Below are 22,007 nucleotides of genomic sequence, written 5' to 3'. Positions count from 1 at the left end.
CCTAAGGGTGAAGGAGAAATAGACAAGTAAAGTTGCTCCCACCCCAGGCAGAGGGTCTACCCAGGAAGGAGGCATGGCTTCCTGAGGCAGCCCCCAAGACTGTACCTTCCTGTCGGGTGCTGGCACAAAGCTCAGGAACTCGTCCACGTGGCCCACGGACAGCCAGTCAGAATAGAGCTTCACAGGGGCCTGCACCTGCTGGGCACTGAGGAAGTCCTGCAGGGCCTGGTGCATCTGCCGGCTGTCATTGCTGTCATGGCAGGGTTAAAGGGGTGTTATCGGCAGCAAGGGCTACAGGGAAGTCCCTGAAGGACAAGGGGCTTGGCAAAAAGGTCAGGGTTCTCCTTCAGCTGAGAAAGGGATGCAGGAGTCTAGAATGCCTTTATTTTATCCCCTAACATTTGAGAAATCAAGGAATTGTCATTCTAGTTTTATTGGGGGAAACTGAGGCACAGAGTCACTAAGGTAAGTAGAACAGAGCTTAGCCTCAGAAAGCACTGCCTCTTGAGTTAGATGAGATGCTGGTATTCTGGGTACACATGGGGCTTAGAGCCAGTCTGACCTAAGTCGGTGATCTCTTGTTAGCCATGTGGCCTTGGGGACATTCCTTCACCTGTTTGAGCCTCAGTTTTCTCCTAAAAAAAAAAATTAGTGTTGCAGTGCCTTGTTCTTCCTCACTTTTTTTTTTTTTTTTGAGACAGAGTCTTGCTCTGTTGCCCAGGCTGGCACAATCTCGGCTCACTACAACCTCCGCCTCCCGGGATCAAGCGATTCTCTTGCCTCGGCCTCCCGAGTAGCTGGGATTACAGGCATGCATCACCAGGCCCAGCTAATTTTTGCATTAGTAGAGACGGGGTTTCGCCATGTTAGTCAGGCTGGTCTCGAACTCCTGACCTCAGGTAATCCACCTGCCTTGGCCTCCCAAAGTGCTGGGATTACAGGTGTGAGCCACTGTGCCCAGCCTCTTCTTGTTCAATAGGTTCTAGCCATCCTGGCCTTGCACGCAGGAGCTCATTCCTGCCTCAGGGCCTTTGCACATGCACTTTCATTTGCCAGGAACTCTCTGTCCCAGATCTCCAGGTGGCCCTGTCCCTTCTGTCATTAGGCCTCAGTTCAAAAGCCCCTTCCCCAGAGAGGACCTCCCTGGTCACCCTAACAGTTCCTATTCCTCCCGTGCCCCTCTCTTTTGTTTTTGTCATTTGAAGTTATCTTGTCTACTTTTCTATCATCTGTTTCCCTACTAGAGTAGTGGTAAGGACTTGTCTTTCTTGTCCACGGCTGCATTCCCAGCTCCCAGAACATTTTGGATGCTCAGTAAATATTCACTGACTGAAAGAGGGTAAGTGGCAGGGCTGGAATTGAACTTGGGTCTATGGGCTCCAAAGCCCGCATTCCTCACCCTGCGCTTGGATTCCTCTCACACTCCCTCAAGTCTGTTGGGCTGTCTAGAATCGGAAGCAGGAAGGCAAGGCTTCCACTCTGGCCTCTGCTTTTCTACGGCATACCTGGGTCCTGGCCACCCCTTCCTGTTACTCCCCTCCTTACCTGGGATAACAGCTGTCCCCGAAGAGAATCCTGCCCAGCGGGTATTCCTTGCCCCTGACTGTGACTGGGGGGCTCACTTCCAGGTTCCCAAAGGAGTCCAGTCCACTGATACCCCCTGTTTGGGGCCCTCGAGTTACATAGCCAAAATCTGGACCCTGAGATAGGAGAAGGGAGTGCCAAGAGTTAGAGGAATGAGGTCCCTGGTGAAGGGTCGGGGGGTCCAAGTTTAGAGATGAACTTGGGCACAGGAAGTAACTCAGTACCGTCTACAGCTGGCACATAGCAGGTGCTGTTATCACATGTGGAAGGTTAAAGGAATGTTGAGTTCATTCAATGGACAAGAAAAGGGACTAGCATTTGTTGGGTCCCTAAAGCGTGCCAGCTGCTTGGTAAACCTTAACTTGGGCATAAAACAAATCTGTAAAACATCATTTTTTTTCCCCTTAAGACAGAGTCCCACTCTGTTGCCCAGGTTGGAGGGCCGTGGCATGATCTCAGCCACTGCAACCTCCGCCCCTGGTTCAAGGAATACTCCTCAGCCTCCTGAGTAGCTGGGACTACAGGCACGCCCCACCACGCCCAGCTAATTTTTGTATTTTTTTTTTTTTTTAGTAGAGATGGGGTTTCACCATGTTGGCCAGTCTAGTCTCGGATTCCTGACCTCAAGTGATCCATCTGCCTCGACCTCCCAAAGTGCTGGGATTACAGGCATGAGCCCCCACGCCCAGCCACATTTATTCTCTTAAAATTCTGGAGGCCAGAAGTGTGAAATCAGTTCCACTGGGCTTAAGTCCAGGGATGGCAGAGCTGGTTCCTCCTGGAGGCCCTGAGGAAAGAATCTATTATATTTCCGTGTCTTTTTCAGCTTCTAATAGCCGCCTTGGCTGGCAGCCCCTTCTTCCACCTTCAAAGATCTCCAGTCTCTGCTTCCATCATCACAGGCCCTCCCGCATTCCAGGATAAACCAGGATAATCACCCCATCACAAGATCCCTAATATAATTACATTCAGCAAAGTCCCTTTTACCATATAAGGAAACATCAGGTTCGGGGGGACTAGGATGTAGAGGGGCCATTATTCAGTCCACCGCCCATCTCCCCTGCCTCCCAGGAGAGGGTACATCTAGCCTTCTACACATAGATGGTCCATTCCCTGAGGCTTCATGGGGGCCATGAACTCCCTGAGAGTAGACGCCAAATTATGTGCCCAGGTGTGAGTTTCTGGGAAGATGAGTGGGTCTTAAGGAGGTCTGTGATCTTCAAATTTACTTCTTCACTGCAGTTTTGACCTCCTGGGCTCAAAGGATCACGGTCCCGTCTCAGCCGCCCGAGTAGCTGGGACCACAGGTGCATGCTATCACAACCTGGCTAATTTTTAAAGTTGTTCTTTCCTGTAGAGATGGGGTCTCACTATGTTGCCCAGGCTGGTCTCAAACTCCTGGGCTCAATCTTCCTGCCTCGGCTCCTAGAGTGTTGGGATTATAGGTGTGAGCTACTGCGCCTGGCCTGATTCCACAGATTTAACAATCACACTTCCAGTTCCTCTCTCCACTTCTCTCTAAAACCCAGACCAACCCGCTTCTCCCGCCCATCAAAGCTTTCCTTGTCCAGGTCTCCATGAACACATGGCCATATCCCAAGTGCAATGCGCGGGCCTCGCCTTCCCCTCAGAAGCCCCTGAATCAGGCGGTCACACCTGTGTTCTCCGCACACTTTCTGCACTTGGCTTTCAGGACACCGGGGGATCCTGGTTCACCTCCAACCTCACTTGCCCCTTCAGTCGTCCTGCCAAGTCTCATGGAATTCCGTTCCCGAGCCGACAACCCTCATGTTCGCATCTCTGGGCATCCCTTCCCTCCCAAACATCACATGTGTATCCACGCTCACTTGACTTCCCATTTGGATGTTGACCAATTGTCTCCCACTTGCCCTAAACAGAACTTTGGGTCCCCTCTTCCCACCCCCTCATTCTCCATCAATCTGTTCCTCCTCCCACAGTCCTCCCCTCCCAGGGGATGGTGCCTGCCACCCACAGAGGTCACAGCCTTGCTGTCAGCTTTGGCTTGCCTCTCTCATAGCGGGGGTCAGAATGCCCTGCTGGCTCTGCCTTCCAGACATAGCCGGAATCTCATGGCTTCTCACCTCCTCTGGCCACACCCTGCCTGCACTCCCAGCATCCCTCACCTGCCCACTCCCTTGCCCCTTGCCTCTGTTCTCTTTACTCAACAACACATAGCAGGGCTTGTTCCCTTTTCTAACAAACCAGATCATAATCCTCCTCTGTTTAAGACCCTGTGATGATTCTCAGTTTCTAAACAAGCAGCCTTAACAGTAGCCAACAAGCCCAACCCCATCCGGTCATCCCGTCCCTTCCCCATCACCTCTGACCACAGCCTCTTCTACTGCCCCCCATCTCCTCCCATCACCTCCTTGACCACCTCTGCTACCACCTCCCATCTCTTCCCTGACCACCCCTCTTACCACCTCCCATCTCCTCCCTGACCGCCTCTCCTACCACCTCTCATCACCTCCCTGATTGCCTCTCCTACTGCCTCCCATCACCTCTCTGACCACAGTCTCTCCTACCACCTCCCATCACCTCCCTGACTGCCTCTCTTCCCACCTCCCATCACCTCCCTGACTGCCTCTCCTCCCATCACCTCCCTGGCCGCCTCTCCTCCCATCACCTCCCTGACTGCCTCTCCTCCCATCACCTCCCTGGCCGCCTCTCCTCCCACCTCCCATCACCTCCCTGACCGCCTCTCCTACTGCCTCCCATCAGCTCCCTGACTGCCTTTTCTACCACCTCCTATCTCCTCTCTGACTGCCTCTCCTCCTGGTTGCTCTGCTCTACCCCTCCAGGCCCTCTTGCTGTTCTGGAACACTCAAGGCATGCTCCTGCCCCAGGGCCTTTGCACTGGCTGTTTCACTGCCTACAACACTCTTCACCCAGACACCCACTCACATGGCCAACTCGCTCACCTCCCTCAAGCATCTGCTGCAAGGTCAGCTTCTCCGTGAAGCCCACCCTGACCATCCTATTTAAGAACGCAATCTTTTTTTTTTTTTTTTTTTTTTTGAGACCAGGTCTTACTCCTATTGCCCATGCCAGAATGCAGTGGTGTGATCATGGCTCACTGCAGCCTCACCCTTCAGGGTTCAAGGGTCCTGCCACCTCAGCCTCCTAAGTAGCTGGAACTATAGGCATGCACCACCATGCCTGGCTTATTTTTATTTTTATTTTTAATTTTTTTTTTTTTTGTAGAGACAGGGTTTGACTATGGTGCCTAGGCTGGTCTCGAACTCCTGGGCTCAAGTAATCCACCAGCCTTGGCCTCCCGAAGTGCTGGGATTACTGGAATGAGCCACCAGACTCGGCTTTAAGAATGTAACCTAATCCACCTTCCCTACCACGCTGGCACCTATGAGCCCCTCCATTCCGCTCTACTCTGTCTTTCCCTGTAGCTCTTTTTTTTTTTTTTTTTTTCCTCTGGGACAAGGTCTCATCTGTCACCCAGACTGGAGTGCAGAAGTGCAATCATGACTCGCTGCAGCCTTGACCTCCTGGGCTCAAGCGATCCTCCCACCTCAGCCTCTCTAGTAGTTGGGACTACAGGCATGTGTTACCATGCCTAGTTAATTGAAACAATTTTTTTTTTTTTTTTGTAGGGACAAGGTCTCATTATGTTGCCCAGTCTGGTCTCAAACTCCTGGGTTCAAACAATTCTCCCACCTTGGCCTTCCAAAGTGCTAGGATTACAGGTATGAGCCACCACACCTGGCACCTGTAGCTCTTGACATCCCCTTCTAAGGAACCATATAACTGCTTTGTTCTATTCATTGTCTGCTGTCTGTCTCTCTGGGCCAGAACGTCCCCTCCGTGAGGTCAGGGACCTTGGCGTTGCTCCCTGTCATATCTCAAGTGCCTAGAACAAGGCCCCGCTGAGTATGTGTTCAAACAGTGTTTGATGAATGAATGTAAATTCAGCCACATCACTGCCCTGGCTGTTGTTGTGAGAGGGGGTCAGTTATACAGCCTTCAGCCTTGGATTTCTGCAGGCAAATGAAGGCATATCCATAGTCTGCAGAAGTGGCCCCCCAAGAGTGGGCTGTGTGGGGGACGCTCATGGATGCCAGGTGATGCGGCCTGAGGCACAACGTTGGAAAGCTGTTGCCCTTCTCATTTTCCTCCAGTCTTTTCTGGTTCCTCAAAAATTCAAGTTTCAGTGATGCAAACACATCCTTGACACCTGCTAATCCCTCATTTTAACCAGCAGAGAGCTGACCTCGAGCTCAGAGATGCTGCAGTCACTTGTAACGAGCTGGCTTTGGTAGCAGGATCTTGTTTCATTCTGTTTAACTTCACAGTTGCCTTCTATCTGCAGGAAGTGCTGCTGGTTTCCCATTGATGGTGGTGATAGAAAATTTACTGACGATGCTTACAGGAAGAACAACCACTGTGTGTGAAGCTTTGTGCCAGCTGCCCGATGGACAGCGTAAGGCATAACAGCCTCAGGCCCAGCAGCGCAGGCAACGAAAAGTAGATGAACGAGTCCATGATTTTAACAAAATACACTGAAGAAGTCAACAGGGGGCTGTAGTGGAGAAGGCTAGGAGTTGGGGTGGGAGTAGGGATCCCTCTTTTAGCATCAGGGAAGGCCTCACTGAGTAGGAAATAGAAGCTGAAACCTGAAGGCTGAGAAGCAGCCAGCCCCGTGAACAGGGAACAGCACTGCAAGCAGAGGGAACGGCATATGCAAAGACCGTGAGGTGGGGAAACGTTAGGCAAGTTTGAAGAACAGGAAGGAGGCCAGTGGAGGTGGGGCTGGGTAAGGGACAGCGAGAGTGGCCTACAATGGTGCTGGAGAGGCAGGTGGGGCCAAAGCCTGGTGCTGAGTGTGACTTTTTCTCCAATTCTCTTCATTCTGAGTGATTTGGGTGTTTTTTGTTGTTGTTTTTTCTTTTTCTTTCTTTTTTTTTTTTTTTGATACAGTCTTGCTCTGTCACCCAGGCTGGAGTGCAGTGGTGCAATCTCGGCTCACTGCAACCTCTGCCTCCTGGGTTCAAGGGATTCTCCTGCCTCAAACTCTTGAGAAGATAGGATTACAGGCACACACCACCATGCCCAGCTAATTTTTGTATTTTTAGTAGAGACGGGATTTCGCCATGCTGGCCAGGCTGGTCTCGAACTTCTGACCTCAGGTGATCCATCCTCCTTGGCCTCCCAAACTGCTGGGATTACAGGTGTCAGCCACCACACCTGGCCTCATTCTGAGTGATTTGAGTTGGAATACACAGATGTGCTTAGCTGAGGGACCAGTGCTGCCTGCCTTCATCCAAAGTTGTCTGTGGGAAAGGGGACAACAATGGTGCCGAGGTGTCCGTCTGTCTGTCCAGCAGGACTTGTGGCATCAGAAAATCTGGCCTTTGTTATACTTGGAGCATCAAAGTAGACACAGCCACTGAACCAGGCAGGACTGAAAGCAGCAGAAAGAGGGCAAAGTCACGGTAGCAGCTGGCTGGTTCGCCCCAACGCTGCTGAAACAGGATGAACTCGACCCCATGGCTGAGTACACACTGTGAATCCAACAGCATCTCTGCATCTCCACTGCTCAGCGCACAGCTTGGCCAGGAGGAAGCGAGACTCGGGACAAGTTGTTGAGTTTAACTGAAGTTTCATTCTGAAGCCTTCTGTGTGGGCAGGGCCACTCTCCCCTCCCTTGGGGCACAGTACAGATGCTTGTCGGAAAGCCATTTGTCCTAGCAAACCTTGGACCCCACACTCCTTCCGTCGTTTTCCCTGGGCACCTTGAGCCAAGGGGCTGCCAGGACTCAGAGCGCAGGCCTGGGGTCTTCCTGGGAAAGCAGGGAGAGGGAGGCAGGGCGGGGAAAAGCATGCTCACCAAGCCGGACTGGCCGGGTTTGAATTCCAACTTCTCCACTCTGAGCCTCAGTTTCTTCTTCTATAAAATGGGCCTATTGATAGAATCTCCATAACAGTTTATCAAATTAAATGAGTCAGTGCAGGTAAAGAATGCAGCACTGGCTAACACACAACTCATTCTCAATAAATGCAACTATTATTATTATTGTTCTGTGCTGAGTTTGCATCAACCTGCCAGGCTAGTCAAGCATGAGTCAGCAATACGTCACTTCCCACCTCCACATGGACAGCCTGTGGCTGATAAAGTCACACCCAGGAAATGACCACTGATCCACTGATCCCAAAATCCCCCATATCCCAGATGGAGCCCCTGAAGACCAAACACCACCCATAAGACAGAGCCTCCAGCTGGGCATTGGGAAAGATTCCAGCCCCGGCCCCACCTCCACCTTGCAGCAAGAGCTTCTTCAAGAGCACAGGGAGGTCCAAGCCTGAGCCACCTCCTCGGCAGGGTTACCTGGAGATCAAGCTGAGCTCACGGGTGACAAGGGTTTTGGGAAATGAAGAGCCAGATCTTATCTTGGTAATAAAAAAATAACAAGCCCCACCTACATGCTCCCACTTTGGTAGGAATTCCACCTCCTTGCACTGGGCTACTCAGCTACAGGCGCGGGCGGGGAAGGCAGGCTAAAAGGAGGGAGTCTCAAGACAAGAGGGTTTCGGCAGCTGTGCCCCCTCCCCACCCCATGCAGGTACCATCACGCGTTTGATGGGAAACTCCTTCAGGCCTCTGTTCCTTGGAGAGTCGAAGACCACGGGCAGCGTTTTGTGTGGGGCTTGGATGTAGCCGATCTCCATTTCATCCTGTGGGAGTGAGTGGAGAGGAGGCTGTTGCGCGTGCTGCCTGGGTCTTGGTGCCCGACGCCAGGATGGGGGCATGAAACCATCCACTCACTCTCACCCTTGCAGTCAAGGGCACATTCCTATGGGATGTTTGATCTCAGAGAAGGGGCTCAGAAGCGGAGCTTATTGCCCCCTGTTTGCCCAGTGCACGAGAGGCCATGAGCCTGCAGGAGTGCCCTTCCCTCCTACTCCTGGTGGTGCCTGGGCCAGTGCTGGGGACCCCTGGTGAGCAAAACTGAGACCCCTCCTCAAGGTGAGAAAACAAGGGAGCCAGGCAGTGGGCACCAGGGTTAGGAGGTGATGGGGGGTGAGGGGTTGAGGGGTCTGTGGGGACACAGAGGAGGGGCTCCTGATGCAGCTAGGATGGGCCAGAGAAGACCTGTTGGCGCCAGAGCTCGCGGCCTCCTCCCCAAAGGAGGGCAGATAAGACCCAGCCTGGGCCACTGGAGCAGCAGGAGGAGCACGGGGAGGTTTCAGAAATGAATCTGCTGAAAATTCCGCCTCCGCAGGCTTGTATTCTAGCAGGCAGGTGTGATGTTGGACATAATCACTACTATAAGTTACTATTAGGATGAACCAGATGAAAGTTCCACTCTTGCAAATCAAAAATGGCACATATCAGCAATTTCACACAGGTCAACTTGGTATCAAAAAAATGGAATGGCGGCCAGGTGCAGTAACTCATGCCTGTAAGCCCAGCACTTTGGGAGGCTGAGGTGGGTGGATCACCTGAGGTCAGGAGTTCGAGACCAGCCTGACCAACACGGAGAAACCCCATCTCTACTAAAAATACAAAATTAGCCAGGCGTGGTGGCACATGCCTGTAATTACAGCTACTCAGGAGGCTGAGGCAGGAGAATCATTTGAACCCGGGAGGCAGAGGTTGTGATGAGCCGAGATCGAGCCATTGCACTCCAGCCTGGGCAACAAGAGTGAAAAAAAAAAGAAAAGAAAAGATGGAATGGCAAGAAAGGAAGAAAGGATGTTGTGTGGGGGTGAAAAGAAAGAGGGATGAATTCCTGCTGGGGGTGATGGGGGAAATTTATGGACGAGGAGCATTTGTGCTGGGATTCACCGGTATGGATTGGAGATGGGGGATGGGAATGGGGAGATGGGTCCAAGAGACAGCACCGCAGGGGTGCGGCATGGAAGGACAGGGTCCCGAGGCAAAGCAAGGCAGTGGTGGGGAGGGTCAGGGTGCTAGGCTGGATGAGGCCCAGTCTCAGTCCTTGGGGCACTCCTGGCATGATGGGGGAGTGGCACGGAAACAGAGACTGGTAATCATGTGTTTCCAGGCACAGTGGCAGGCTGGCCCCAGGGAAGGGAACCAGGCAGGCTGAGAGGGCCTGGAAACAGACTAAGCAGGAGGAGATGGGAGCCATGGAAAGTGCTGGAGCTGGGGTGTGACCTGCTTTGGTGGCTGGGCCCAAGATGGACAGCCTGGAGGGAGGACCACTTGAGGGGCTGGTTGAGCACCAATCTCCTGAGCTTCACATCATTTCCTGAGGCCACCTGAGTGTTTTCAAGCAGGAAGGTGGCTTCATCTTGGTGACTGCAGTGGGCCTGCAGTGGCCCACAGCAAACGTCAGATGAATCACTTGCTTGAGCCTCCCGGCCCAAGGATCTCTCAGGTTCCTATCTCCCTGTCCATCTAAGGAAGAGTGGCCGGTGAGGCACCAGGCTGAACCCCAGGAGCCCGGGTCCCCCAAGTGTCTCTTGGCCCTCAGGGACAGTCACCCTGCCTGCCCCGCAGGGCACATACCTGCATCCACTGGTCATCCATGTTCTCCTCCTCAGGGCAGATGGTCAGCTTGCACTTGGCTTTCATGGCCAGAGTAGTCACTGACTTCAGGAAGTCCTCATTTTCAAAAATACTAGAGAGAGCAGAAAAGCAGCTCCTTAGTGCTCTGGAATTTGAAGCTCAGCCTGGAAGGATTGGGAGGGACACACAGGTGGCTCAGGGGTCACCTGTGGCCTGAACAGAGGCTCCTGGCACGTCCGGTCCATCTGCTCTTAGCAGGCATTAGCTCATGGAATCCATCTAACAAGTTATGAGGCAGGAACTAGTGGGTACCCCTTCCACCCGTGTATTAGTCCGTTTTCACGCTGCTGATAAAGACATACTTGAGACTGGGAAGAAAAAGAGGTTTAATTGGACTTACAGTTCCACATGGCTGGGGAGGCCATGGTGGGAGGCAAAAGGCACTTCTTACATGGCGGTGGCAAGAGAAAATGAGGAAGAAGAAAAAGGAGAAAAACCTGATAAAACCATCAGATCTCATGAGACTTATTCACTATCATGAGAACAGTATGGGAGAAACTGCCACCATGATTCAAATTATCTCCCACTGGGTCCCTCCCACAACACTTGGGAATTATGGGAGTACATGTCAAGATGAGATTTGGGTGGGGACACAGAACCAAAGCATATCATCCTGCCCCTGGCCCCTCCAAATCCTATATCCTCACATTTCAAAACCAATCATGCCTTCCCAACAGTCCCCCAAAGTCTTAACTCATTTCAGCATTAACCCAAAAGTTCACAATCCAAAATCTCATCTGAGACAGGGCAAGTCCCTTCCTCCTATGAGCCTGTAAAATCAAAAGCAAGCTAGTTACTTCCTAGATACAATGGGGGTACAGGTGTTGGGTAAATACAACCATTCCAAATGGGAGAAATTGGCCAAAACAAGGGGGTTACAGGGCCCATGCAAGTCCAAAATCCAGCAGGGCAGTCAAATTTTAAAGCTCCAAAATGATCTTTGACTCCAGGTCTCACATCCAGGTCATGCTGACACAAGAGGTGGGTTCCCATGGTCTTAGGCAGCTCTGCCCCTGTGGCTTTGCAGGGTATAGCCTCCCTCCTGGTAGGCCAGTTTCACAGGCTGGTGTTGAGTGTCTGTGGCTTTTCCAGGCACACGGTGCAAGCTGTCAGTGGATCTACCCTTCTGGAGTCTGGAGGACAGTGGCCCTCTTCTCACAACTCCACTACGTGGTGTCCCAGTAGGGACTCTGTGTGGGGGCTCCAAACCAACATTTCCCCTCTGCACTGCTGTAGCAGAGGTTTTCCATGAGAACACCACCCCTGCAGCAAACTTCTGCCTGGGCATCTAGGCGTTTCCACACATCTTTGGAAATCAAGGCAGAGGTTCCCAAACCCCAATTCTTGACTTCTGTGCACTTGCAGGCTCAACACCATGTGGAAGCTGCCAAGGCTTGGGGCTTCCACCCTCTGAAGCCACAGCCTGAGCTCTACACTGGCCCCTTTTAGCCATGGCTGGAGCAGCTGGGATGCAGGGCACCAAGTCCCTAGGCTGCACATAGCATGGGGACCCTGGGCCTGGCCTACGAAACCATTTTCTCCTAGGCCTCTGGGCCTGTGACGGGAGGGGCTGCCATGAAGACCTCTGACATGCCCTGGAGACATTTTCCTCATTGCCTTGTGGCTTAACATTAATCTCCTTGTTACTTATGCAAATTTCTGCAGCTGGCTTGAATTTCTCCTCAGAAAATGAGATTTTCTTTTCGATTGCATTGTCAGGCTGCAACTTTTCTGAACTTTTATGCTCTGCTTCCCTTTTAAAACTGGATGCCTTTAACAGCACCCAAGTCACCTCTTGAATGCCTTGCTGCTTAGAAATTTCTTCTGCCAGATACCCTAAATCATCTCTCTCAAGTTCAAAGTTCCACAAATCTCTAGGGCAGGTACAAAATGCCACCAGTCTCTTTGCTAAAACATAACAAGAGTCACCTTTGCTCCGGTTCCCAACAAGTTCCTCATCTCCATCTGAGACCATCTCAGTCTGGATTTCATTGTTCATATCATTATCAGTATTTTTGTCAAAGCCATTCAACAAGTCTCTAGAAAGTTCCAAACTTTCCCACATTTTCCTGTCTTCCTCTGAGCCCTCCAAACCGTTCCAACCTCTGTCTGTTACCCAGTTCCAAAGTTGCTTCCACATTTTGGGTATCTTTTCAGCAACGCCCCCCTCTACTGGTATCAATTTACTGTATTAGTCCATTTTCACGCTGCTGATAAAAACATACCTGAGACTAGGAAGGAAAAGAGGTTTAATTGGACTTACACTCCCACATGGCTGGGGACACCATGGTGGGAGGCAAAAGGCACTTCTTACATGGCGGCGGCAAGAGAAAATGAGCAAGATGCAAAAGTGGAAACCCCTGATAAAACCATCAGATCTCATGAGACTTATTCACTACCATGAGAATGGTATGGGGCAAACCACCTCCATGATTCAAATTATCTCCCACCAGGTCCCTCCCAGAACACGTGGGAATTGTGGGAGTACAATTCAAGATAAGATTTGGGTGGAGACACAGAGCCAAACCATATCAACTTGGGAGAAGACAGAATATGAGTTCACTGTTCAAGGTCACACCACCTGGAACAGTGCTGGGACCGGAATACAGTCCTCACTGGATTCCAGCCTGCGTCCTGACCACATTACCCTCTTACTCTTCTGCCCCTGAAGCTATCAGAAGAGGGGAGGAGAGGGTCTCCTGAGACCCCAGCACACTTGTCAGCGGCTCTCAGACTGCAGGAAGATTGCCTGGGCCTCCCCAAAATGCAGATGGGCCCCGTCCTCAGGGATAAGACCCAGCAGCTCACAGGCAGCCAGAAAGGTGCATTTTATTTAATTTAAATTTAATTTAATTTAATTTAATTTTTAATTTTTATTATTTTTAATTTTCTCAAGACGGAGTCTTGCTCTGTCGCCCAGGCTAGAGTGCAATGGTGCAATCTCGGCTCACTGCAACCTTGGCCTCCTGGGTTCAAGTGATTCTCCTGCCTCAGCCTCCCGAGTAGCTGGGATTACAGGCACATGCCACAACACCTGGCTAATTTTTTGTATTTTTAGTAGAGACGGGGTTTCACCATGTTGGCCAGGCTGGTTATTTTATTTTTGAGATGGAGTCTCACTGTGTTGCCCAGGCTGGAGCGCAGTGGCGCAATCTCAGCTCACTGCAACCTCCGCCTCCAGGGTTCAAGCAATTCTCGTGCCTCGGCCTCCTGAGTAGCTGGATTACAGGCATGCGCCACCACGCCCGGCCAATTTTTGTATTTTTTAGTAGAGACAGGGTTTCACCATGTTGGCTGGGCTGATCTCAAACTTCTGACCTTAAGTGATCCACCTGCCTCAGCCTCCCAAAGTGCTAGGATTACAGGCGTGAGCCACCGTGCCCAGCCCAGAAAGGTGCATTTTAAATGAGTTCCCAGGAGTTTCTGGTGCACAAGGTCCATGGGACACACTCTACAGGCCCCTGGGAGTTAACGTAGCCTCAGCTGCATCAGGGCAGGACAGAGGCAATGACAACAACAGTAGGGAACTTCCCTGCCTTTTTAGAGCCCCCAACAAGCAGCAAGCTCTCAGTGGGCAGGGGAGGGGTGACTGTTTTTCCCATCACACAGTGAGTGCTGCGGATGGAACTCAGGCTCTTTGTTGTCTGGACCCACCCCAGCACCCCAGGACCTCTCACCTGCACGCGTACACCTCCTGCGGGGGCTGGGTGTTGGGGGTCATGATCCAGGGCGCCACGCGGAAGACCACGCTGTCTTGGAACACCACAGCCTCGGGGAGCTCCTGCAGGGGAGGGGGTAAGGGGAAGGAGGGGCTGTCACCGCTGCCAGGGCCCAGCACCTACCACTTCCTGCAGCTGTTTGGAGTCCCCCTGCCCAGCTGGGCTCTGTACCCCTTTCCCTAGCCAGGCCACTGCCTGGAAGCCCAGGCCCCCGATGCAGGGCTGCCTTCTCGGCCTACCAGGTTGGACGTGTCCAGCAGGGAGATGGTGAGGGTAATGAGCCCCGGGAAGTCGGTGTCCGGGAAAGCGAGGGCCTCCACGTAGAAGTCCATGTTGTGCTTTCCACCGGGGACCATCAGGTAGTGAGAGGGCCACTTGGGACCCAAGACTACGCTGCACTTGGAGGACAGTTTGCCCCCTAGGAGAGAGGCAGGGGAGACTCAGGTCTGCGTCCCCACTTCTGAAGACTTTTCCTCCTCTCCTTAGTGCTCCCCAGAAGCCTTTCCCAGGGTCACCACATGGCACCATCAGAGAACCCCTTGCAGCCAAATCTGGCCAGTCCCCTTAGGAGAAAAGGACTGAAGTTCTAGCTGGGACGCTGCTCCCCGGCTGAAGTCCCAGAAGGGTGTGGCAGGGGTGCCTGAGCTATTCCAAACTTTATAGGAAGTCCAGTATACACCATTCCTTCACTCATTCCTGAGCATCTGCTCTAGCCAGATGTCAGCGGGGGACAGGGGCACAGCAGGGGACCAGGGAGACAGAGTCACTGTCCTCCTATCCTCACCCCCAGAGAGTGCACAGTCTTACGGGTGAGTAGGGAGAAGCAGAGATCATGAAAATAGCAGACAGCTGTGATAGAGGGAATCCCTGAGAACTTCCTGGAGGAGGTGATGCCTGGGTGGAGGCAATAAGTTGACCTGTCACCAAATCAGTGTCAGTTTAATCACTTTAAGAATGAAACAGGCCGGGTGTGGTGGCTTACGCCTGTAATCCCAGCACTTTGGGAGGCCGAGGCAGGAGGATCACAAGGTCAGGAGATCCAGACCAGCCTGGCCAACATGGTGAAAGCCCATCTCTACTAAAAACACAAAAAAATTAGCCAGGCATTGTGGTGGATGCCTATAATCACAGCTACTCGGGAGGCTGAGGCAGGAGAATTGCTTGAACCCAGGAGGTGGAGGTTGCAGTGAGTTGAGATTGCGCCACTGCACTCCAGCCTGGCGACAGAGAGAGACTCCATCTCAAAAAAAAAAAAAAAAGAAACAGAGGCTGGGCATGGTGTCTGTAATCCTAGTGCTTGGGGAGGCTGAGGCAAGTGGATCATTTGAGGTCAGGAGTTCGAGACCTGTCTGGCCAACCTGGTGAAATCCCATCTCTACTAAAAATACAAAAATTAGCTGGATGTGGTGGCACATGCTTGTAACCTCAGCTACTGGGGAGGCTGAGACAGGAGAATCTCTGGAACCCAGGAGGTGGAGGCTGCAGTGAGCCAAGATGGCACCACTGCACTCCAGCCGGGGCAACAGAGTGAGACTCTCTCAAAAAAAAAAATTAAAAAAAAAAAAAAAAAGCTTGGAATAGACCAGGCAGAATGATCAGGATCAGAATGATTGTCAGGCCCATGCAAAAAAAAAACCCTCCCATGGCGCTCTCCATCTCCTTCCATCCAGAAGCCAAAGTCAATATACGCCTACCTGACCTCCCCCTTCCCCTCTGCCCTGTCTCTTCCACCCTCATCCCCCACTTTAACCCTTGCACATTCCGCCCCAGCTGCACTAGCCTCCCTGCATTCCTCCAAACCACAGGCATGATCTCACCTCAGGGCCCACGCACTTGCCGTTCCCTCTGCCTGGAACGCCCTTCCCCTAGGTGTCTGTCTGGCTGTTCCTATACCTCCCTCTGCTCACATGGCACCTCATGGGGGACACCTTCCCTGGCCACCCTCTCTCCACACAACCCGAACTCCACTCCTCACTCCACATCCCCTTCCCTGCCGCATTCTTCTACATAGCATGTCACAGCGTTGGACACACTAGGTGTTTTATGTAATTATTTTACCTATAGTTCTCCCAGCCACTAAGATGAAAGCAACACGAGGGCAGGGACTCGGTCACAGTCATGGCTCTGTGCCCCGTGCCTGGGATCAACCTGGCACCTACTTAGTTGCAGGTGCTCGTGGGTCACTGAGAAGTTCCTGATGTCTCTGATTAGCAGGATGTTGCAGAACAAATGATTACATGCCACATGCTGTCAGCTTGCACTCAAAGTCTATAACCAGGAGGTGTGTGTGTGTGTGTGTGTGTGTGTGCGCGCGCGTGTGTGAGAGAGAGAGAAAGAAAAGCAGGGAGCAATAACGAGTCATTTTGTCTGTGTCCTCCAACTGGAAGGTAGTAGACGAGATGTCGTCTGTCTTGCCCACTGCTGCGTCTGCTGTTCTTAGAACTTGGCACATAGTAGGTGCTCAGGATTTATCTGCCACACAGCTGTGTGACAGGATTGTGCCCCGTTGGCCAGGGCAGGAGGGGAACAAAGATGGGGATGACTTACGTGTGGCCTGAAACACCCTCACTTTGTCCATCTCAGACCTGGCCACGTGGAGCACCAGTGTATGGTTTGTGAAGAAGTCCTTGGGGGTCTTCGTGCTCAGGGTCATCAGCGACATGTCCTGCAGGTCTGGGATGAGAAGGGCATTGCCTGAGTCACAGGGCCCTGAGACCGCTGCTGGTTTCCCATAGCCACCTCACCTCCTGGTGGAGCCTCACACCCCACCGCTCCCCTGAGACCTCCCTTTACCATGTTGCCTGGTTTTCTTTTCTTTATGCTATTTTGAGTATTTAAATGATGGTTTTCATTTTGGAATGAGAGCTCATTAAGGTTTTGGTCTCCTCCCACTAGGATGAGCTGGGGATGTAACCTCAGCAAAGCGGGGACCACATTTATTAATATTTTGCTCCTTGCAACGTTCCCTGAATCTTGAACCTAGAAAGCCGAGAACTCCCTAGAACAATGACCAGCAGGCGGCAGGCGCTCGGCTGAGATTTGTGCAATGAACGAGTGAAAGGTTTCTGTGCTGGTCCTGAGCAAGAAGTGGGGTTTGTGAACCAACTTGAACAATAGCCAAGAAGGGGTAGAGGGTGGGGAGAGTGAAGAGATGGTTCCCAAGGGACTGACTGATAGCCAAGGGCTTAAAGGCTTTGCGGTCAATTTGGTTTGAATCTGGGATCTGGGTGGGCTTAGGAAACGGATTTCAGCTTTCTCTGCCTCTGTTTCCTCATCACTAAGACAGGGGCAAGAGTTGTACCCACCGTAGAATGGTTGTGAAGATAAAGTCAGGTGATACACAGTGCTTATACCAGCTCTTGGCACCCCGGGAGTGCCCACAAAGGACAGCTGTTGTGATTATTACCGCATGTCAGGCACTGTACAGAGGCTGTCCCCTGGCATCGGGCCAGGCCAACTACATGCAACTTGAAAATACATCCATTTCTATGTTATTCTAAGAGCTCCCCAGGAAGGCCTGCCAGCCAGAGCCCCTTAGCACCTTCCTCCAGCGCAGGTGGATAATGTTTCCTCACTTCAACCCCGGAGCCACCCCCTTAGCAGCCCAGAGGTTTGCCTGCAGAGATCCTGCATTCCCCACCATCCTCATGCCTCTAAACCTGCTCCGGTGTTGGGACGTCCGGGGTTCAAACCCCGAGTCTGCTACGTGTCAGTGCTGTGACCTTGGGCAAATTGCTTAAGTTCCCCGTGCCTTGGTTTTCCTACCTATAAAGGTTTGTGTTGGAAGATCAGATGAGTTAATCATTCCAAAGTGGTCAGAGTCGTGCCCGGCCTATGGCAGAGGTCTCAGGGCCTGCTCTGATATGAGTTTGGGAATGAAAAGCTTTCATTTCGAAGGATTTCAGGCTCCAGGTTTGACCTAAGAGCGTTTAGGTTGGGCAGCAGGGTGAGGCATGGAAACCAGGGCCTGTAGGAGGCATCAGGAGACAGCACTGGCCTCAGCTCTTCCCTGACCGCTGCGTGAGCTTGGGGAGGTCACTTGACCCCCGAGGGCCTTTGCCCATTGCTTCACCTATAAAACAGATTTGCCAACAAGAAGATGCTTTCAATAACCCTTATTTCAGAGGGCCGTCACCAGGTTCAGGCTATGTGGGCAAAAGGGCTTTATAAAAAGCCCTTCCCGTTAGCTAGCAAATGCTCTTTACCTTCGCTGTCAAGCACTTCATCATCCTCGCAGTCCATGGCAGAAGATTCGAGATTGTCTCTGTCACAGTTCACCAGCAGGATGGCACCCTGTCCACAAGGGCCCCAGGTCCAGGTCCTCTGGACACCAGCAGGGAAGAGTCATGCTCAGAAACTAGCATAGAGCCCTCCAACTCTTGCAAGAGGCATAGCAACTCCCCATCACCTCTTTTTTAAAATTTATTTATTTATTTATTATTTTTTTGAGACGGAGTCTCCCTCTGCTGCCAGGCTGGAGTGCAGTGGCGTGATCTTGGCTCACTGCAACCTCCACCCCCCAGGTTGAAGTGATTCTCCTGCCTCAGCCTCCTGAGTAGCTGGTACTATAGGCGCATGCCACCACACCTGGCTAATTTTTGTATTTTTAGTAGAGATGGGATTTCACCATGTTGGCCAGGATGGCTCAATCTCTTGACCTCATGATCCATCCTCCTCGGCCTCCCAAAGTGCTGGGATTACAGGCATGAGCCACCACGCCCGGCCCCCATCACTTCTTTAACCCAGTGCAGTTTACACATCTTGCTTCCACATCAATTAATTATTTGATCTCAGGAGTGGATTTTTGCCTTTTACTCCAAAAGTCACAACCAAATTCACCCAAAACACAATTCATCCATTTAAAAAAAGGAGCCCAAGACAGTCACATGGATTTTAACAGCTTTTAAGAAATGTTGGCTGGGCGCAGTGGCTCACACCTGTAATCCCAGCACTTTGGGAGGCTGAGGCAGGCAGATCACCTGAGGTCAGGAGTTCAAGACCAGCCTGGCCAACATGGCGAAACGCTGTCTCTACTAAAAATACAAAAATTAGCTGGGCGTGGAGGCATGCACCTGTAATTGCAGCTACTCAGGAGGCTGAGGTAGGAGAATCACTTGAACCTGGGAGGCGGAGGTTGCGGTGAACCGCCCCTGCACTCCAGCCTGGGAGACAGAGCATGACTCCATCTCAATAAATAAATAAATAAATACATAAATACATAAATAAATAAATAAAATGTTGAGCTTGACAAACCAAATGCAGCTAAATATGTATGTCAATATTCTAATCTAAATAGTTACTATTATGTGAACTCTTAATTACTCATTCAGCAAAGTGTGGTACTATTCTTAGCAGCCAGTTAATATCTGCCTAGAGATTAAAGCACATTAAGCAGCCCCACCCTGTAGGGATCTAATAGTGATGGCGCCTCCCTTCGCGGGAGAGCGTTTGCCCCTGGGAAATGACTGCATTTCGGGAGGGATACAGGGACAGATTCTACTCCTAGAGTTGTAATTTGTCTTCCCACTTTTGCTGACCCCACAAAGGATCTTCATCTTTTTACAGGGCACAGCCCCCAGTGCACACCAGCATAAAATGGTGCAGGCAGCTCTGGGGTTTCAGGTTTACCTGCAGACTCTGGTTTAAGACAGCGTTCACCTGCCCTTTCTGCACATCCCATCATCCTGTCTTTCCACAACACACCCTCCCTCTCCCCACCTGGCTCCTTCCCGCCTCTCCCCCTGCCATTTCTTCCTTTCTCTGTTATTCCCCCATGTAGACAGCTCTGCAGAAATCTCTCCCATATCAGCTGTAGAGCATGGAGTAGGGAGTTTTTGAGCCAGAGTCGAGACCTGCCCACGAATTTCCTCTCTGCTGTGTATTAACTGGGTGACTCAGTAGGGTTTCCAGTTTGTAGGATAACACATCTGAACCCACAATTGGTGAAATTCTGATTTTGTAAAATAGATGGGAAATACATAAGCCAAAATATTAATGGTGATGCTAATTTTCTTTCTTTTTTTAACAGTTAACACGGAATACGTGGGACAGGCCAGCATTTGCCCCATCACCACAAGGGGGCGCCCGGGGAGAATCCAGTAGAAGTAGGAAAGGAGCGTTTGGGTGAGTGGTACCTGATCTTTCACAGCTCTGGTTGGCTTCACTTTGCCGGTGCGGGTGATGTCTGCGCACAAGGAGATTTCTGAAATCCCATCAAGTAAGAGGAGAGGTTGGTGAGGGTCCGGGGTTGGGGCACCCAGCCTGGCCCTGAATGGGCAGGTCGTTTCCCCAGGGGACTGTGTGCACCCATAGTGTGAGCCCCTCTTCCCGTCCTTCAGAGGAGACACAGGTTCAAGACATCCCTCCTCCACGGCCCCCAGGAAGTCTGGCTACAGTTCGGACAGCAGAGCTGGGGCCTCTGACCACACCTGTTCCCCTTCAGCGGGGCCACAACTGTGATGTCCACCAGACCCTGCACGTCTGGCCACCCCCAGGGATTTTGGAAGGAATTCCCAACCACCACAATGAGAGGTTCGATGTGAAGCCTCTGCAGGCACACCCTGCCAGCCTCTCGAAAGACTCTGGCCCCAGCCCTCAGTGACCTTGGGGTGGGGGACCCAGCGGTGACACCAGCCCCACGGGCTCTTCATGACATGTGTTGTGACTGTATCTGGGGACAAATTGCAACCCTGAACATGCCCCCACTCTGTCCAAATGGCTTGGCTGAGAAAGCAAACATTTGTTTGTAAATCCTTCCTCCCTCATCCGAATATATGACTGCAAGGTCATTCCAATAAAATAGATCCGTGTGCCCCACAGCATGATATGGTGACCCTTGTCCCACATGAGACTGACCCAGATGACCTTCTAAACATATTCATAGCCACGTCTTAGTTAGGGCCGGGGAAGCATTGTCCTTTCGTGGCCTGGACTTCCTGACTCCTTCACTAACCAATTGCATGACCTTGGACAAGTCTGTTTAGCTCTTGTGCCTCAGTTTCCTCACCTGTAAAATGGGATGATAATAATAATACCAATTTCACTGGATTGTTGTAAGGATTAAATGTAAAGTCTTAGCACAGTGCCTGGCAATTGAGTAAGTGCTGTAGTATTATTACTTAAATATGCATTAATGAATGAAATGCATTAATGAAATGAAACCTGAAGATTCTATATGCTACATATTATATATATATGTGTGTGTATATATATATTTTTTAGTTTTTGAGACTGGGTCTCACTCTGTCACCCAGGCTGGAGTGCAGTGGCACAATCATGTAGTCTTGACCTTCTGGGCTCGAGCAATCCTCCCACATCAGCCTCTTGAGTAGCTGGGACTACAGGCACATGCCACCATGCTCAGCTGTTTTTTTTTATTTTTTGTAGAGACAGGATCTCACTATGTTGCCCAGGCTGGTCTCAAACTCCTGGGCTCAAGCGATCCTCCTGCCTCCGCCTTCCAAAGCGCTGGGATTGCAGGTGTGAGCCACCATGTCTGGCTGCTACTTATATGTTTAATACACATAATGATACTAATCATGATATTATTGTTCAAAATGAGGTCAAGTTTAAGAATGGATTTTATTTAAAGAAGAACATTACATAAATATGAGTATAGGTGGATCATTGATATGGCAGAAATGGTGAAGATGAGATATAAATAATGGAATTTGAGGAACACTATCTATATTCTTGTATAAGACAGTGTCATTATCTACTTTTTGTTATAGATATTTGAGGTATCAAAAAGGAATAGAGGGCCTGGCGCAGTGGTTCATGCCAGTAATCCGAGCACTTTGGGAGCCTGAGGCAGGCAGATCACCTGAGGTCAGAAGTTCGAGACCAGCCTGGCCAACATGGTGAAACTCCATCTCTACTAAAAATACAAAAATTAGCCAGGCGTGGTGGCAAGCGCCTGTAGTCCCAGCTACTAGGGACGCTGAAGCAGGAGGATCGCTTGAACCTGGGAGACGCAGGTTGCAGTGAGCCGAGATCATGCCATTGCACTCCAGCCTGGGTGACAGGGTGAGACTCCATCTCAAAAAAAAAAAAATTAATGGAGATGCATATATTGAAAATCCAAGTTCCTACTTCCTAACTTGAGAAGCAAAATGTTAAGATATAATTAAAATTCC

The 22,007-nt window shown here is 51.2% G+C and overlaps 1 protein-coding gene across 9 annotated transcripts in view; it reads right to left on the bottom strand.

Annotated features, from left to right (window-relative positions):
• The window catches only part of PADI4 (peptidyl arginine deiminase 4), a 55,808-nt gene that overhangs the window by 7,772 nt on the left and 26,029 nt on the right, over positions 1 to 22,007 (bottom strand). The window contains exons 4-12 of one of the 9 annotated variants that reach the window (NM_012387.3): positions 20,007 to 20,074; positions 18,078 to 18,195; positions 16,420 to 16,545; positions 14,112 to 14,290; positions 13,831 to 13,934; positions 10,094 to 10,205; positions 8,185 to 8,292; positions 1,546 to 1,700; positions 106 to 250 (exon numbers count right to left, since the gene is read on the bottom strand). In NM_012387.3, coding sequence (NP_036519.2) covers positions 106 to 250; positions 1,546 to 1,700; positions 8,185 to 8,292; positions 10,094 to 10,205; positions 13,831 to 13,934; positions 14,112 to 14,290; positions 16,420 to 16,545; positions 18,078 to 18,195; positions 20,007 to 20,074 — 1,115 coding nt within the window. Of the gene's footprint in view, positions 1 to 105; positions 251 to 1,545; positions 1,701 to 6,741; positions 7,401 to 7,447; positions 7,534 to 8,184; positions 8,293 to 10,093; positions 10,206 to 13,830; positions 13,935 to 14,111; positions 14,291 to 16,419; positions 16,546 to 18,077; positions 18,196 to 20,006; positions 20,075 to 22,007 lie in introns of those variants that run through there. The other 8 variants (XM_011541154.3, XM_011541153.2, XM_011541152.1 and 5 more) reach the window with 8 other exon arrangements.

The sequence above is a fragment of the Homo sapiens genome, chromosome 1 (genome assembly GCF_000001405.40).
Source record: "Homo sapiens chromosome 1, GRCh38.p14 Primary Assembly".
Classification (NCBI taxonomy): Eukaryota; Metazoa; Chordata; class Mammalia; order Primates; family Hominidae; genus Homo; species Homo sapiens.
Note: the sequence above shows the minus strand (reverse complement) of the source record. Positions and strands in the feature narration are given on the sequence as shown.